At 52.3% G+C, this 14,109-nt stretch overlaps 1 protein-coding gene across 3 annotated transcripts in view, besides 7 other annotated features; it reads left to right on the top strand.

Annotated features, from left to right (window-relative positions):
* Positions 5,007-5,493: a transcriptional cis regulatory region, noted in NCBI's record as "candidate enhancer chr19.1096 targeted for multiplex CRISPR interference". NCBI's record gives its function as "positively regulates PLIN3 gene expression with high confidence in K562 cells {active_cell/tissue: K562}" and the evidence as "EXISTENCE:mutant phenotype evidence [ECO:0000015][PMID:30612741]".
* Positions 5,162-5,326: a silencer, noted in NCBI's record as "fragment chr19:4870260-4870424 (GRCh37/hg19 assembly coordinates)". NCBI's record gives its function as "represses an EF-1alpha promoter that drives an FKBP-Casp9 reporter gene in an ReSE screen in HepG2 liver carcinoma cells {active_cell/tissue: HepG2}" and the evidence as "EXISTENCE:reporter gene assay evidence [ECO:0000049][PMID:32094911]".
* Positions 5,206-5,285: a silencer, noted in NCBI's record as "silent region_9910". NCBI's record gives its function as "represses an Ori minimal core promoter by ATAC-STARR-seq in GM12878 lymphoblastoid cells {active_cell/tissue: GM12878}" and the evidence as "EXISTENCE:reporter gene assay evidence [ECO:0000049][PMID:35858748]".
* Positions 7,750-7,929: a silencer, noted in NCBI's record as "silent region_9909". NCBI's record gives its function as "represses an Ori minimal core promoter by ATAC-STARR-seq in GM12878 lymphoblastoid cells {active_cell/tissue: GM12878}" and the evidence as "EXISTENCE:reporter gene assay evidence [ECO:0000049][PMID:35858748]".
* Positions 7,907-14,109, top strand: part of PLIN3 (perilipin 3) — a 29,327-nt gene continuing 23,124 nt past the window's right edge. For all 3 annotated transcript variants that reach the window (NM_001164194.2, NM_001164189.2, NM_005817.5), the window contains exon 1: positions 7,907-7,965. The gene's annotated coding sequence lies outside the window, so the exon portion shown is untranslated. The remainder of the gene's footprint in view (positions 7,966-14,109) is intronic.
* Positions 8,147-8,647: an enhancer, noted in NCBI's record as "H3K4me1 hESC enhancer chr19:4866939-4867439 (GRCh37/hg19 assembly coordinates)". NCBI's record gives its function as "activates a minimal SCP1, AML or CMV promoter by ChIP-STARR-seq in primed H9 embryonic stem cells {active_cell/tissue: H9 hESC(primed)}" and the evidence as "EXISTENCE:reporter gene assay evidence [ECO:0000049][PMID:30033119]".
* Positions 8,147-8,939: a biological region, named in NCBI's record as "H3K4me1 hESC enhancer GRCh37_chr19:4866939-4867439".
* Positions 8,590-8,939: an enhancer, noted in NCBI's record as "active region_13786". NCBI's record gives its function as "activates an Ori minimal core promoter by ATAC-STARR-seq in GM12878 lymphoblastoid cells {active_cell/tissue: GM12878}" and the evidence as "EXISTENCE:reporter gene assay evidence [ECO:0000049][PMID:35858748]".

The following is a 14,109-nucleotide window of genomic DNA, read 5'->3' as shown; positions in this document are numbered from 1 at the left end:
CCGTCTCTACTAAAAATACAAAAATTGGCTGGGCATGTTGGCGGGCGCCTATAATTCCAGCTACTTGGGAGGCTAAGGCAGGAGAATCGTTTGAAACCAGGAGGTGAAGGTTGCAGTGAGCTGAGATAGCGCCACTGCACTCCAGCTCAGGTGATGGAATGAGACTCAATCTCAAATAAATAAATAAACAAAACTTAAAAAAAATTTAAAATATAAAAATTAGCCGGGCATGGTCACATGCACCTGTAACGCCAGCTGCTCAGCAGGCCGAGGCAGGAGAATCCCTTGAACCCAGGAGGCGGGGGCTACAGTGACCCAAGATCGTGCCATTGTACTCCAGCCTGGGTGACAGAGCTAGACTTCGTCTTAAAAAATAACAATAATAAGTCTCTTTTTATTTATAGTGGCTCATGCCTGTAATCCCAGCACTTTGGGAGGCCGAGGTGGGCGGATCATGAGGTCAGGAGATTGAGACCATCCTGGCTAACACGGTGAAACCCCGTCTCTACTAAAAATACAAAAAATTGGCTGGGTGTGGTGGCACGTGCCTGTAATCCCGGCTACTCAGGAGGCTGAGGCAGGAGAATCCCTTGAACCCGGGAGGCGGAGGTTGCAGTGAGCTGAGATCGCGCCACTGCACTCCAGCTTGGGCGACAGAGCGAGACTCCATCTCAAAAAAAAAAGTAATAAATAATAATAATAATAAAAATAGGCCAGGCGTGGTGGATCATGCCTGTAATCCCAGCACTTTGGGAGGCCAAGGCGGGCGGATCATGAGGTCAGGAGATTGAGACCATCCTGGCTAACACGGTGAAACCCCGTCTCTATTAAAAAAAAAAAAAAAAAATTAGCTGGGCATGGTGGTGGGCGCCTGTAGTCCCAGCTACTCTGGAGGCTGAGGCAGGAGAATGGCGTGAACCCAGGAGGCGGAGCTTGCAGTGAGCCGAGATCGCACCACTGCACTCCAACTCCAGCATGGGTGACAGAGTGAGACTCCGTCTCAAAAAAATAAATAAATAAAAATAAAAATAAATATTCCCCGAATGAATGAATGAATGCTACTGTGACTGGAACGTCCTTCTGTACTGTTCCCTCTCCAATACCACCTTTCTTTTTATTTTCTTTCTCTAAAACGAACAAACAAAACAGAGACAGGGTCTCACTATGTTGCCCAGGTTGGTCTCGAACTCCTGGGCTCAAGCGATCCTCCCACCTCCGCCTCTCAAAGTGCTGGGATTGCAGGCGTGAGCCACCATATCTGGCCTTGCCACCACGTATGTCCTACTTTTTCTTCCAGAGTTACCTGAAGCATTTGGTTCCTTTCCTCCTCCCATTCCTCATCCTCCAGTCTTATTCCCTTTGAATCATTATCCACAGGGTGGCCCAAGAGATCTTTCAAATGTTCCAACTTGCCCTTGCTGCTCCTGCTCTGGAACCTACTGTGGCTCCCCAGTGCCCTTAGATCTGGCAGCCTGACCCTGGCCACTCTGTCCAGCTTCATCTTTTTTCCCCTGATGCCACCCCCACCACATTCTACGCTCCAGTCTTATTCTGTGTCTTAGCACTCTCTGTTCCCTTGGCCTGAAACAGCTTTTTGGTGCCTTTACCTGCCTGATCGCTGTTCACTTCTCAGGGCTCAGCTTAGACATCACCTCATCCTGAAAGTCCTCCAGAACTACTCTCACCCACCTAGGTCCAGCACCTACCCCAGGCTCCATCACACTTGTGCACCCTATCACAGCCCTGATAACCCTCTATTTTATCCACCTGGTCACACTCCATCTCAAAAGAAAAGAAAACAAAACAAAACAGAACCTCCTGGCTTCAAGTAATTCTTCTGCCTCAGACTCCCAATCTTCTGGGAATTATAGGCATGAGCCACTGTGCCCAGCCCCAAAAGCCTTTGTTTGTTTGTTTTTTGTTTTGAGTCAGGGTCTTGCTCTGTCGCCCAGACTGGAGTGCAGTGGTGCTATCACAGCTCACTGCAGACTAGAACTCTTGGGCTCAAGCAATCCTCCCTCCTCAACCTTCGAAGTAGCCGATGCCCCAGGCAGGCACCATCATGCCTGGCTACATTTTTTAAGTTTGTGCAGAGACGGGGTCTTGCTATGTGGCCTGGCTGGTCTCGAACTCCTGGCCTCCAGTGATCCTCTGGCCTCAACCTCCCAAAGAGCTGAGCCACCGTGCCTGGCCGCAAAAGTCTTTTTTTTTTTTTTTGAGACAGAGTTTCGTTTTTGTCGCTCAGGCTGGAGTGCAAAGAGTGAGCGAGAGGGAGGGAGGAGGGGAGGACAGGGATGGCTCAGAGAGGATTCAAGCAATTCTCACCTCACCATCCCGGGTTCAAGCGATTCTCCTGCCTCAGCCTCCCAACTAGCTGGGATTACAGGCATGCGCCACCATGCCTGGCTAATTTTGTATTTTTAATAGAGACAGGGTTTCTGTCCGTTGGCCAGGCTGTTCTTAAACTCCTGACCTCAGGTGATCCACCATCCTCGGCCTCCCAAAGTGCTGGGATTACAGGTGTGAGCCACCATAGCTGGCCCCAGAAGTCTTAATGCAATCCTGCCATCCTGTGTCTGTCTCCAGGGCTGCCCAGCACAGGCTTGGCACACAGCAGGTGCTTAATTATTGTTTGTTGAATGACTGCATATCCAGTGAATCGCTGGCCTGGCTCACACTCAATAGGACATGCTTAAAAACGGATGGATGGATGGAGGGAAGGAAGGGTCAGAGGAGAGACAGGGAACACCTGTGCCAGGCAGGGACCCATCTGGGACCAGCAGTGCCACCTTGTGGCAGCATGCTCACCGCCGTTCCCCTCTTCTCAGTGAGAAAGAACTAGGCGTCCTGGCTGGGCGCGGTGGCTCACACCTGTAATCCGAGCACTTTGAGGGGCCAAGGCGGGTGGATCAGGAGGTCAGGAAATTGAGACCATCCTGGTTAACATGGTGAAACCCTGTCTCTACTAAAAATACAAAAAATTAGCCGGGCTTGGTGGCGGGCGCCTGTAGTCCCAGCTACTTGGGAGCCTAAGGCAGGAGAATGGTGTGAACCCGGGAGGCAGAGCTTGCAGTGAGCAGAGATCCAGCCACCGCACTCCAGTCTGGGTGACAGAGCGAGACTCCGTCTCAAAAAAAAAAAAAAAAAAAAAAAAAAAAAAAAAGAAAGAATTAGGAGTCCTAGAATTGGGAGGGGATGCAGAGGGAAGGAAAGAAGAGAAAGAGTAGAAAATGTCAAAAACAAAGACCTGCTGGGCGCAGTGGCTCATGCCTGTAATCCCAGCACTTTGGGAGGCAGAGGTGGGTGGATCACCTGAGGTCAGGAGTTCGAGACCAGCCTGGCCCACATGGCAAAACCCTGTCTGTACTAAAAATACAAAAATTAGCCGGGTGTGGTGGCGCATACCTGTAATCCCAGCTACTCAGGAGGCTGAGGCAGGAGAATTGCTTGAACCTGGAAAGCGGAGGTTGCAGTGAGCTGAGATCCCACCGCTGCACTCCAGCCTCACTTCCAGACGAAGTGAGACTCTCTCAAAAACAAAACAAAACAAAAAAACCCCAAAACAAACAGAAACCAAAGACCTTAAAGACACATAACTCAAGGTTCAAACCCTGGGGCTGGCAATTTCTGGCTGTGTGACCTGGGGCAAGTTACTCTGCCTCTCTGATCCTTAGTTTCCTGATCCAGAAAACAGAAATCACAGTTGGTTTACCTTGGCAGGCTGAGGTGGGCGGATCACTTTAGGTCAGGAGTTTGAGAGCAGCCTGGTCAACATGGAGAAACCTCATCTCTACTAAAAATACAAAAATTAGCTGGGTGTGGTGGCACGCGCCTGTAGTCCCAGCTACTCGGGAGGCTGAGGCAGGAGAATGGCGTGAACCCGGGAGGCGGAGCTTTCAGTAAGCTGAGATCGCGCCACTGCACTCCAGCCTGGGTGACAGAGCAAGACTCCGACTCAAATAATAATAATAAGAAGAAGTAAATAAATAAATAGCGCCACGTGCTGTGGCTCACGCCTGTAATCCCAACACTTTGGGAGGCAGAGGCGGGTGGATCTCGAGGTCAGGAGTTCAAGATCAGCCTGGCCAACATGGTGAAACCCCATCTCTACTAAAAATTCAAAAAATTAGCCAGGCGTGGTGGTGGGCTCCTGTAATCCCAGCTACTTGGGAGGCTGAGGCAGAGAATTGCTGGAAACCGGGAGGCAGAGGTTGCAGTGAGCCGAGATCGTACGGCTACACTCTAGCCTGGGCGACAGAGCAGAACTCCATCTCGAAAATAAATAAATAAATAAATAATAAAAGAAAATGGGAATCAGGCTGCTGAATAATGTAATGAAATAGCCCAGAAAACAGCAGCTATCTCATTTTTGGTTTTGAGACAGGGTCTTGCTCTGCTACCCAGGCTGCAGTGCAGTGGTGCAATCTTGGCTCACTGCAACCTCCACCCCTCCAGTCTCAAGCGATCCTTCCACCTCAGCCTGTGGAGAAGCTGGGATTACAGGCATGCGTCACCATACCCGGTTAATTTTGTATTTTTGGTAGAGACAGGATTTTGCCATATTGGCCAGGCTGGTCTTGAACTCCTGAGCTCAAGTGATCTGTCCGCCTTGGCTTCCCAAAGTGCTGGGATTACCGGTGTGAGCCACCGGCCAACAGTAGCTATTTCTTTTTTTCTTTTCTTTTCTTTTTTTTTTTTTTTGAAACAGAGTTTCACTCTTGTTGCCCAGGCTGGAGTGCAATGGCACAATCTGGCTCACTGCAACATCTGCCTCCCAGGTTCAAGTGATTCTCCTGCCTCAGCCTCCTGACTAGCTGGGATTACAGGCATGCGCCACCGCACCTGGCTAATTTTGTATTTTTAGTAGGGACGGGGTTTCTCCATGTTGGTCAGGCTGGTCTCAAACTCCCGACCTCAGGTGATCCGCCCACCTCGGCCTCCCAAAGTGCTGGGATTATAGGCGTGAGCCACTGCGCCCAGCCAACAGTAGCTATTTCTTACCTCTCACCCTAGGGCTGTGGGAGGCCAGGCGGGGACTCCTGGGCAGATGTTGCCATCAAGAAGAACCAAAAGCCTGGGAGATGACTCTGTCTCAAAAAAAAAAAACAACAAAAAACGGTGTGGGGCAAAATCACCAGGGCTCATCCCCTAGACCAGAGCTATTTTGTTACTCAAGGCCACTAAGAAGTTAAGGGTTAACAGGCAAATCTCCCACTGACCTTGAATCTTGGATGAGTCACTTCCCCTCTCTGAGCCATCCCAGCCCTCCCCTCCTCCCTCTCTCTCACTCACTGTACTCCAGCCACTGGGGCCTCCTCACTGTTCTAACAGGCAGGGTGTGGTCCTGCCTCAGGGCCTTTGCACGGACTGTGCCTGCTGCCTGGAATGCTGTTCCCCCTAACTGGACATGGTTCCCTCCTGGCCTCTCTCTCTTCTCTTCTTGGATGTCACTCAGAAAGGCCTCCTCTGACCTCCCTACTAAAAACTGCGGCCCCACCGGGTGTGGTGGCTCATGCCTATAACCCAGCACCTTGAGAGGCCAGGGCTGGTGGATCACATGAGGTCAGGAGTTCGAGACCAGCCTGGCCAACATGGTGAAGCCCCGTCTCTACTAAAAAAAAAAAAAATACAAAAATTGGCCAGGCATGGTGGCACAGGCCTGTAATCCCAGCCACTTGGGAGGTCGAGGAACAAGAATTTCTTGAACCTGGGAGGCGGAGGTTGCAGTGAGCCGAGATCGTGCCACTGCACTCCAGCCTGGGTGACAGAGTGAGACTCTTTGACAAAAAACAAGAACAAAATCCCCGCATCCCCCACATTCATCTCGTCCTTTGCTGTCCTACCACGTGACACATTGTAAAGTTCTCTCACTTATGTTGTTCCTTGTTCGTCTCTCCCACTGGGTAGTGTGTGTCACCAGGGCTGGAATTCTTATCTGTTTAGCTCACCGCTGTCCCCAGCGCAAGGACTCAATAAATATGGTTGAATGAGTGAATGAGAAGGAAAAAGCCTGTTACAAATGTCATGGAATGGGGTCTCAGATTCACTTGAGAATCTCACTAGCTGCCTGAAGTTACTTAAATTTAAACATTCAGGCCAAGCGCGGTAGCTCACACCTGTAATCCCAGCACTTTAGGAGGCCGAGGCAGGTGGATCACTTGAGGCCAGGAGTTCGAGACCAGCCTGGCCAATATGGTTAGTCCTCGTCTCTACTAAAAATACAAAAATTAGCTGGGTGTGGTGGCGCGCGCCTGTAATCCCAGCTACTTGGGAGGCTGAGGCAGGAGAACCGCTTGAACCCGGGAGGTGGAGGTTGTAGTGAGTCGAGATCGCGCCATTGCACTCCAGCCTGGGAGACAGAGCGAGACTCTGCCTCAAAAAAAAAAAAAAAATTTAAACATTCAGCTTCTCACTGTGCATTAGCCACGTGGTGCTTTTGGCTACAATGTTGGATGGCACACAATTCTAGAATTGCAGAAAGTTCTATTGGACAGTGCTAGCATAGACCCTGTCCCCACTCACCCCCCCAAAAAAATGCAGTCACAGACACCCAATTTTTCCCATGTTCTTTCTAAAGCTACCAGAAGCTTCATTCTATTCAAATAATTTGGCAGAGGTGGCAAACTGGTGGCCCCTGGGCTGGACAAAGCCCCAGTTGGGTTTCATTTGGTCCAATTGTTCCCTAACAGGCAGGACATGTCTACAGCTTGAACTTCCTGTGGATCTGTGACTCTCCAGGTGGGTCTCCCATAGGGCACTGCTCTCCCCTGCCCCTCTAAGCAGGGCATCACTGCCACCTCCTCAGCAGAAATATTCACCTCCTCCCTGGACCATCTGAGATTGAGACCTTGGTTTATAGACCAAGAGGATAAATAATTTGGGAGGTGGAGAGGGGCGGGGTAAAATCCAAGTGGGGGCAGCTTCAGGAAAAGGTTGATCCAGCAGTCACAGAGCCTGGAGCCTGACCCCTCCATTGCCCCTGGCTGACCCTCTCCAGGCCTCAGTTTCCTTCTCTGCAAAATAGGGATGATTAAAAAGACAATACAGTGCTGGGAGGATGAAGTGGTCTGATGTTGGGCAGATCAGGCCGGAGGCTGGACAAGTTCCCGTGGTGGTTCAAGTCACTCATATAGCTGGGTTGGGCCGGGTGCGGTGGCTCATACCTGTGATCCCAGCAATTTGGGAGGCCCAAGCGGGCAGATCACTTGAGGTCAGGAGTTCAAGACCAACATGGTGAAACCCCGTCTCTGCTAAAAATACAAAAAATTAGCCGGGCGTGGTGGCACGTGTCTGTAATCCCAGCTACTCAGGAGGCTGAGGCAGGAGAATCGCTTGAATCCAGGAGGTGGAGGCTGCAGTGAGCCAAGGTCGCGTCACTGCACTCCAGCCTTAGCGACAGAGCGAGACTGTGTCTCAAAAAAAAAAAAAAAGTGTGTGTGTGTGTGTGTGTGTGTGTGTGTACATATAGCTGAGTCGGAGCCCATGGTGGAGGGCGTGGCCCCTGACGCGCTGGCGAGGGTCACCCTGCAACTCTCCCAGGGTTCTCGCAGCCTCAGTTTGGCCATAGGGGAAATGGGCGACCTGGGGAATCCCAGCACCTGTGCGGCGCCCCCGATCGCACTCACCTCCCAGGGCCAACTTCACAGGGTCCCCAGCTGCGGAGCGGGGGTCCCGTGGCTGGGACAGGCGTGGTCCAAGAGTGCTCCCTCCCCTTCAGGGGCAGGGCGTGGAGTCCTTCCCGGACTTCATGACTTGGCGAGGGGCGGGGCCTAGTGGAGGCGGGGCAGGGAGGAGAGGGGCGGGCCTGGCGCGGGCAATCCCTCAACCTGATTGGTCCCCTCGCCCGTCACTCCAGTGCGCCCCCAACCTACCACGCAGTAAAAGCCACCCCCGCCTCGGCCCGGACGGTTTCCAAGCTGGTTTTGAAGTCGCGGCAGCTGTTCCTGGGACGTCCGGTTGACCGCGGTGAGTGGCGGGGGCGTCTCAGTTGAGCTGGGGGGCGGTGTCCATGGAGTCCTGGGGCACCCCAGGGGCCGGAGGGGTCGGGGAGGGCCTTTCTCGGGGTGGGATTTGCTGGACTCTGCGGCCTGGGGAGGGGTCTTCAGCCCAGGCTGGTCACCCCTCCCCCCAGAAAAATCCAACTTCTGCAACGAAGCTCAGACTTTGAAACCCTCTTCTCACTTCCTGGGACTTTTGAGGGGCGAAAGAGCCCCGTAGAAGGGGTGATATTGAAGGGGGTGGGCTAAATACCGCCCCCCGCCCACCAGGTTTTCTCTAAATTTTGAACAGTTTGCTTTTGGAAACGCCATTTGCAGGCAAGTTTCCTCCTGCGGGCAGAATCTCCGCCCTCCCTTCTGGGGTTTTCAGAGACACCCCCCGCCACCGCAAAGCCCCCTCCCCTACAGATGGTTTTGCCACGGGTGGGGGTGGGGGTTGCCCCAGCTCCTGGCGCCCCCAACTGATTCTGGGGAGGTCTTGGGCAAAGCCTGCCCACTTCCCTCGGGTGGGCGTGGCGACGAGGTGGCTTAAAAGTAGGAAGGCCTATCCGTTAACTGCTTTGGGGTTCTTGTCCCGGCTAGGCCTGGCAGTGGGACCTGGGGCCCTTGGAATTTTGGAAGTCCAGTCTTAGCATGCTCTGAAGTTGCTGGATGGCTGGGTCTGGCCTGGAGCTCCCCTTCTGGAGCCAGCGGCAAGGCAGGTCACTGACCCCCAGGGGTTTCATAGGGTGTTGACATCTGCCATGGCCACCCTTGCTTAAACCAGTTCCAGGAAGTCATGGTGGACAGAGGGGACGGGAGGAAGCTGCCTGAGTCCTAAGTGGGACTTGAGAATCGGTCGAGGCCAGGAGTTTGATGCCTGCCTACCTGGCCCCCTGCCCAGGTGAGCTCAGGCTCCAAAGGAGGTGAGGAGAAGCACAGATTTAGGCAATGATCACTGGGAGGTAGGTATGTCTTCTCACCTGACTTCCCAGTTGGGGGACTTTTGTACCTAGCAGGAAGCTGGTTCCTGGCTGGCTTTACCCCTTTGTCCGTGGAAGCCAGAGTGCGGTGAGATAGTTTATGGAGCACTTACTATGTGCCGGGCACGGATCTGAGCTTCCCCGGAGCAGCGTCTCCTCCAGTCCACAGGGACTCCAGGCTCTTGTGAAACACTTATACACATTTCACAGATGTGGCAAGCAAGACTCCTAGGGGATGCTGCCTTCCCAAACTCCTATTCCTAGTGAGTTGCCAAGCTGGGATTAGAACCCATTCTGGGCTGGGCAGGATGACTCACGCCTATAATCCCAGCACTTTGGGAGGCTGAGGTGGGCGGATCATTTGAGGTCAGGAGTTGGAGAACAGCCTGGCCAACATGGTGAAACCCCACCTCTACTAAAAATATAAAAATTAGCCGGACGTGGTGGCGGGCACCTGTATTCCCAGATACTCTGGAGGCTGAGGCAGGAGAATCGCTTGAACCTGGGAGATGGAGGTTACACTGAACTGAGATCACGCCACTGCATTCCAGCCTGGGCGACAGAGCAAGACTCTGTCTCAAAAAAAAAAAAAGGCCGGGCATGGTGGCTCACGCCTGTAATCCCAGCATTTTCGGAGGCCGAGGCGGGCGGATCATGAGGTCAGGAGATCGAGACGATCCTGGCTAACATGGTGAAATCCCATCTCTACTAAAAATACAAACAATTAGCCAGGCGTGGTGGCGGGCGCCTGTGGTCCCAGCTACTCGGGAGGCTGAGGCAGGAGAATGGCGTGAACCGGGGAGGCAGAGCTTGCAGTGAGCTGAGATCGCGCCACTGCACTCCAGCGTGGGCGACAGGGCGAGACTCCGTCTCAAAAAAAAAAACAAAAAAAAAAAAATGGAAAGAACCCAATCTGGACTCCAGATCTAGTGCTTGCAAAACATCATCATTTTGCTGGGTTCTGCTTAGGGGACATCGAAGCAAGGCCACCAGGAGGTGGGGCCTCATTCCTCTGGGAAAAGATGCTCAGACTCAAGGCCACAGGTTCTTAGGCTCACACCAGAATTCCCCAGGAAAGCAGCCCATAAGACAGGCATGACCTTTAGCCCCATGTTTTTTTTTTTTTGAAACGGAGTCTCCCTCTGTCACCCGGGCTGGAGTGCAGTGGTGCGATCTCGACTCACTGCAACCTCCACCTCCCAGGTTCAAGCAATTCTCCTGCCTCAGCCTCCTGTGTAGCTGGGACTACAGGTGTCAGCCAAAATACACGGCTAATTTTTGTATTTTTAGTAGAGATGGGGTTTCACCATGTTGGTCAGGCTGGTCTCAAACTCCCGACCTTAGGTGATCTGCCCGCCTCAGCCTCCCAAAGTGCTGGGATTACAGGCGTGAGCTACCATGCCTGGCTTTTTCTTTTTTCTTTGAGATGGAGTCTTCCTCTGTCACCCAGGCTGGAGTGTAGTGGCGCAGTCTTGGCTTACTGCAACCTCCGCCTCCCAGGTTGAAGCAATTCCCCTGCCTCAGTCTCCCAAGTAGCTGGGACTACAGGCGCCCGCCACCACACCCGCACCTAATTTTTGTATTTTTAGTAGAGACAGTGTTTCAGTATGTTGGCCAGGCTGCTCTTGAACTCCTGACCTCATGATCCACCCACCTCAGCCTCCCAGCGTGCTGGGATTACAGGTGTGAGCCACCATGCCCGACCCTTTAGCCTCATATTACAGGTAAGATGACCGAGGCCAGAGGAGGGGAAGGCGCCTTGCTCCAGGGAGCATAGCGTAGGTGGAGCTGGGACTCCTGGCTTCCCCCTGAGAATCTCTTCTGATGATGGTGTCCCAGCTTCATTTCACTAGTCCAGGAAAAGGGAGTTGTGGCTTCATCCCGCTTACATAGACTCACCTGGGGAACCCCGTCCTCCCCACACCCCTGACCTGGACTTCATAGCTCTGCGGTGCAGGCAGGCATGTTATCTCACTTTTTAAAAAAAGCCTAAATTTTGGCTGGGTGCGGTGGCTCACAGCTGTAATCCTAGCAGTTTGGGAGGCCAAGGTGGGCAGATCCCTTGAGCTCAGGAGTTCAAGACCAACCTGGGCAACATGGCAAAACCCCATCTACTAAAAAACAAACAAACAAAACAACAACAACAACAAAAAAAAAAACAAACCACGGCTGAGTGCAGTGACTCATCCTGTAATCCCAGCACTTTGGGAGGCTGAGGCGGGTGGATCACGAGGTCAGGTGTTCAAGACCAGCCTGACCAACATAGTGAAACCCCATCTCTACTAAAAATACAAAAAATTAGCCAGACGTGGTGCACACCTGTAATCCCAGCTACTCAGGAGGCTGAGGCAGGAGAATCGCTTGAACCCAGAAGGCGGAGGTTACAGTGAGCCGAAATCACGCCACTGCACCCCAGCCTGGATGACAGAGCAAGACTCCCTGTCCAAAAAAAAAAAACAAAACCACACACACACACACACACACACACACACACACACACACACACACACACACACTAGCCAGGTGTGGTGGTGCGTGCCTGTAGTCCCAGCTACTTGCAGGGTCAAGGTGGGAGAATTGCTTGAGCGTAGGAGACAGAGGTTGCAGTGAGCCAAGATCGCACCACTACACTGCAGCCTGGGCGACAGAGCGGAAATCCGTCTCAAGAAAGAGAAGAAAGTTTGCCCTATTTAACACATTTTATCCCTTGACTAGATCTTTGTTCATGTCATGTCAGTTACATTTAGTCTTTTGTTTGTTTTGTTTTGTTTTCTTTTTTTTTTTTTTGAGATGGAGTCTCGCTCTGTCACCCAGGCTGGAGTGCAGTGGTGCAATACCAGGTCACTGCAACCTCCACCTCCTGGGTTCAAGCGATTCTCCTGCCTCAGCCTCCTGAGTAGCTGGGATAACTAAACATGGAGGCGTGCACCACCACGCCTGGCTAATTTTTGTATTTTTAGTAGAGACGGGGTTTTGCCATGTTGGCCAGGCTGGTCTCCACCTCCTGACCTCAGGTGATCCTCCTGCCTCGGCCTCCCAAAGTGCTGGGATTAGAGGTGTGACCCACCACATCTGGCCCATGTGAGTTACATTTAAATCTCTTTTTTTTTTTTTTTTGAGACAGAGTTTCGCTCCTGTTGCCCAGGCTGGAGTGCAGCGGCGCGATCTCGGCTCACTGCAACTTCCGCTTCCCGGGTTCAAGTAACTCTCCTGCCTCAGCCTCCTGAATAGCTGGGATTACAGGCATTCGCCACCATGCCTGGCTAATTTTATATTTTTAGTAGAGATGGGGTTTCTCCATGTTGGTCAGGCTGGTCTCGAACTCCTGACCTCAGGTGATCCACCCGCCTTGGCCTCCCAAAGTGCTGGGATTACAGGCGTGAGCCACCGCACCCGGCCTTTAAATCTCATTCTTTAGCCACTGCATTGGGATACACTTATTTTTGTTTTTGTGTTTTGAGACGGAGTCTCACTCTGTTGCCCAGGCTGGAGTGCAGTGGCGCGATCTCACCTCACTGCAACCTCCGCCTCCTGGGTTCAAGCGATTCTCCTGCCTCAGCCTCCTGAGTAGCTGGGATTACAGGCGCCCACCATCATGCCTGGCTAATGTTTGTATTTTTAGTAGAGACGGGGTTTCACTATGTTGGCCAGGCTGGACTCGAACTCCTGACCTCGTGTTCCACCCACCTCGGCCTCCCAAAGTGCTGGGATTACAGGCGTGAGCCACTGTGTCTGGCCACACTTGTTGTTTTCTTATTCCCCTTTTGCTGGGCATCCAGGTTGTTTCCAGTGTCATGTTGTGGCCAGTAAGTCCACACAGCTCTGCTCATGTGGAAACACAGGTGTGGGTTCTTCCCCGAAGTGAGGTTTCTGGGTCAAGGGGAAGATGGCTCTTGGAACTTGACAGCTATTGGCAAATTGTCCTCTACAGAGGTTTTAGGTCATACCTGGCTTGCTGGAGTACAGGTGAGCCCTGAAGGGACTGTTCCCAAGCCTTGCTTCCTGACGTGTGTCCCAGGGACCAGCTGCATCAACACTGCCTGGGAGCCTTTTAGAAATGCAGGGTCAGGGCCGGGCATGGTGGCTCACTCCTGTAATCCCAGAACTTTGGGAGTCCAAGGCAAGAGGATTGTTTGAGACCAGGAATTCGAGACCAGCCTGGGCAACATAGCAAGATACCATTGGCCAGGCACAATGGCTCACACCTATAATCCCAGCACTTTGGGAGGCCGAGGCGGGCGGATCACGAGGTCAGGAGATCAAGACCATCCTGGCCAACATGGTGAAAACCCGTTTCTACTAAAAAAATACAAAAAATTGGCCAGGTGTAGTGGCACACGCCTGTAGTCCCAGCTACTGGGAAGGCTGAGGCAGGGGAATTGCTTGAACGTGGGAGGTGGAGGTTACAGTGAGCCGAGATCGTGCCACTGCACTCCAGCCTGGCGACAGAGCAAGACTCTGTCTCAAAAAAAAAAAAAAAAGATAACATCTCTACCCAAAAAGAAAAAATTAAGTAGGCGTGGTGGTGTGTGCCTATAGTCCTAGTTACTTGGGAAGCTGAGGCAGGAGGATCCCTTAAGCCCAGGAGTTAGAGGCTGCAGTGAGCTGTGATTGTACCACTGTACTCCAGCCTGGGTGACAGAGCAAGACCCTGTCTTTAATGAGAAAAAAAAAAAAGAAAGGATCAGGTGTGGTGGCTCACACCTGTAATCCCAGCACTTTGGGAGGCCAAGGTGGGTGGAACACAAGGTCAGGAGTTCAAGACTAGCCAGGCCAATATGGTGAAACCCCGTCTCTACTAAAAATACAAAAATTAGCTGGGCGTGGTGGTGGGTGCCTGTAATCCAGCTACTCGGGAGGCTAAGGCAGGAGAATTGCTTGAAACCAGGAGGCGGAGGTTGCAGTGAGCCCAGGTTGCCCCACTGCACTCCATCCTGGGCGACAGAGTGAGACTGTCTCCAAAGAAAATAAAGAAAAAAAAAAAGAAATAGGGGGCCAGGTGAGCCCCATCCCGAAGCTTTAGAATCAGCACTTGCTATTGAACAAAGTCCAGAGGTCACTCTTGTGCCTGCTAAGGACTGAAAGACACAGCTGTAAGTCATGGGCAGGTGTGAACCCTGTCTTCCAGCTGCAGCGTGGGCCTGGACTTT

The sequence above is a fragment of the Homo sapiens genome, chromosome 19, assembly GCF_000001405.40.
Source record: "Homo sapiens chromosome 19, GRCh38.p14 Primary Assembly".
Classification (NCBI taxonomy): Eukaryota; Metazoa; Chordata; class Mammalia; order Primates; family Hominidae; genus Homo; species Homo sapiens.
Note: the sequence above shows the minus strand (reverse complement) of the source record. Positions and strands in the feature narration are given on the sequence as shown.